General features: G+C 42.4%; 1 annotated feature.

Annotated features, from left to right (window-relative positions):
* Positions 3,153-3,222: an enhancer, noted in NCBI's record as "active region_29868". NCBI's record gives its function as "activates an Ori minimal core promoter by ATAC-STARR-seq in GM12878 lymphoblastoid cells {active_cell/tissue: GM12878}" and the evidence as "EXISTENCE:reporter gene assay evidence [ECO:0000049][PMID:35858748]".

Here is a 3,440-nt window from a genome sequence, read left to right on the forward strand (position 1 = left end):
GATTGAATATATAAACGAGTGCCCGCTGAGTGAGAGACACTGCATGTAAAAGCCCTGCTAGAATGGTCAAAGGTGAATCTCCCAGGAATGTTGACATCAGAGAAGGGGAAGAGGAAACAAAGGCAACCAGCTTTTATTGAGTATGTGCTCTTTAAGCTCTTTCATATGCAGGAAGAAAAATCGATTTGGGTGTCTATTACGTGCTAGGCTCTGTGTTAAGCATTTGGTCATACATTGTCTCATCTGGTCTCCTGACAAGAACCCTAAGGGACAGTCTTATTCTCCCCTTCATCACTTTTATCCTTTCCATATATATATATGTGTGCATGTGTGTGTGTGTGTATATATATATATATATATATATATATGTGTGTGTGTATATATATATACACACACATACACACACAACACACATATATATGTGTGTGTGTGAGTGTGTGTCGAAAGGGTCTGATATAATAGATATATACAATATCAACATATATAGATAGATATCAACATATATATGTGAGTGTGTATATATATATGTGTGTGTGTATCCTTCTATGATATCAACCCCTTTCAAGGGTCTGATTATATAGATGTATATTTCAACATATATATATATCAACATATATACACATATATCAACATGTATATATGTATGTATATCTTTATATTATATCAGACCCACAGCCAAGGAAAAGGTACAGTTCCTGATCATAAGAGGTTCACCAGATGAGTGAGAAAGACATTCATGTAAACAGACTATACAGAACAATAAGAAATCACAATACAGAACAATAAGAAATATTTTGTAAAAGAACTTTGAGAAAGTTTCATACTTAAAGATTTTTTAAGCCTACTATGTTTGTTATCAAGACAACACTTACAAGTGCAGTCATGACTTCTGTAATCCAATCTGTTCTCCATGTCCTTTATTCTCAGCTGATGGCTTAATCTGCTCACTGGAATGATAAAGACCATCCTGTATGAGCAATCTGGCTGCTGCAAGTCACCTTTAAAGTTAGGCCTGAGAGGCCGGGGGCGGTGGCTCAGGCCTGTAATCCCAGCACTTTGGGAGGCCGAGACGGGTGGATCACGAGGTCAGGAGATGGAGACCATCCTGGCTAACACGGTGAAACTCTGTCTCTACTAAAAACACAAAAAAATTAGCCAGGTGTGGTGGCGGGCACCTGTAGTCCCAGCTACTCGGGAGGCTGAGGCAGGAGAATGGCATGAACCCGGGAGGCGGAGCTTGCAGTGAGCTGAGATCGCGCCACTGCACTCCAGCCTGGGCAACAGAGCGAGACTCCGTCTCAAAAAAAAAAAAATAGCTAGGCCTGAGATAACCTGGGGATTACAAACTCAAAGCCCACCCTGGCTAAGCAGGCAGAGTGTGAGTGCATCTGCATACACGGTGTGAGGGGTGGGTGTGTGGTTGATTAGAGAGCAAACAGTCCATCTAAAGGGTGCAGTAGCTACTCCGCTCCAGCTGACCCACATGAACTAATGCAGGCCTAGTGTTGCCAGAGCGTCTGGATTTTTCAAGAGAAACCAGAAATGTGAGTTTGTAAATTGTAAAATCTCCTGGTTTTTCATTGTTGACTCAAAATGTTTGGAATGTTGTATAGGCCAAATAAAACACAAACACCATTTTGTGCTCTTTGATACAATAAAAACAACACAAAAAATTAACTATCATGGACTTGACCTCAACATACTGTACCTTGCTGAATCTCTCCTGGACTCTGCATATGAAAGCACTGCCATCATCACTCCCTGCTATCCACATCCTTCACCCTGGAACCAGTGACTTCCTTTAAGACAAATCCAGGGCCTTTTCTCCATTCTTATAAGCCCCGACCACTGCAGCACTTAGCCAATATTGCTGTAAGACCCCAGTTACTACTTGGACCAAGACAACAGGAACAAGTTTGGATCTCCATCCCCACTGCTACTGCCTTATAGCCAATCATCTTGCCATCTCCTGGATAGAAACTGTGGGTTTCTGTCACATTTCCTGACTGTGTTCGATGCATTGTGCTTGAGCATCTTGAGTCCTCTTTTAATACCTTATTCTCAAAAACACAAACCTGATCATGTTGATTCCCTATTTAAAACTCTCCACTAGTTTCCCACTCTCTTCCAGCAGGATGTCCAAGGCTCTTCATGCCCCAGCCCCTTCTTGTTCCTTCAGTCTCATCTCCCATCACTCCACACCTTCCTTAATCCCTACTTTTGACTTAGCCAAGCTATTAAAGCTCCCTGTAAATGCTACGCCCTTCAGTGCCCCAATACCTTGGCAAATAATGCTGCCTTTGCCTAGAAAATCTTTCTCCTAGCCCCCTTCTCCAGGGAAACTCCAACTACTCCTTTGACCTCAACTCAGATTCAGCTTCCCTGGGACCAGCCCCATCAATATACCCAACTATGTTGTACTCTCCTATGGCCCTCTATGAAATGATCAGAGCACTTATCTCACTACTATAATTGTTTGGCTCTTCTGCTAAACTATAAAGGCCTAAAAGATGAGAACTTTTAAAAAAATCTCTGTATTCCCACTCTCCAGCATAGTGCGTGGCACATGGCCGACACAATAAATGTTTGCTGAATGACTGTGAATTTCTTGTATTAATTAACGAGTGTCTTTATACCAAAAAAAGACCCATCTCAGTGCAGCTTAGCATGAGACAAAAACAGCAGGGAACACACAGAAGAGAACATGTAGGACTTAGACAAAGAGAAAAAGATAGAAATCCAGAATACACCAGAACAGCAACAATTTCCTAATCACAAAAGATAGGGGTCTTCCCCAATTCCTTACTGAAGAGGAAATTGAAAATAACATTAGAACTTGGCAGGGCACAGTGGCTCATGCCTGCAATCCCAACACTTCGGGAAGCTGAAATGGGAGTATCACTTGAGCCCAGGAGCTCAAAAACAGCCTGGGTAATATAGTGAAACCTAGTCTCCACAAAAATTAAAAGAAAAAAAATTTAGCCAAGCATGGTGGCACATGCCTATAGTCCCAGCTACTTGGGAGGCTGAGGTGGGAGGATCACTTGAGCCTGAGAGGCGGAGGTTGCAGTGAACTAAGCTTGCACCACTGCACTCCAGCCTGGGCAACAGAGCGAGAACTTGTGTCAAAAAAAAAAAAATTAAAACCTGCCAATATAGGATCTGTGGTTTGTTGTAGATAATTATGTTATGTTGTGAGTTGGGAGGATCGCTTGCAGCCTAAGAGTTATGTTGCCTGCATTGAGTCATTTTTAGCTAAGTCTTTTTGTTGTGTTAAAGTACTGTTAGCTGAACTGTATGGACTCCACCTGGCAAATGCAGTTAAAGTTCTGATGCCCAGAGGGGGAAGACCAGGAAAGGAGCAGATTTTCCCAGATGGGACCTTGACATGGCTTATGTTTCTGCTTGGGAGTGCTACCAGGACCACATTCGCAGCCGCT

Source organism: Homo sapiens, chromosome X, assembly GCF_000001405.40.
Source record: "Homo sapiens chromosome X, GRCh38.p14 Primary Assembly".
NCBI lineage: Eukaryota > Metazoa > Chordata > Mammalia > Primates > Hominidae > Homo > Homo sapiens.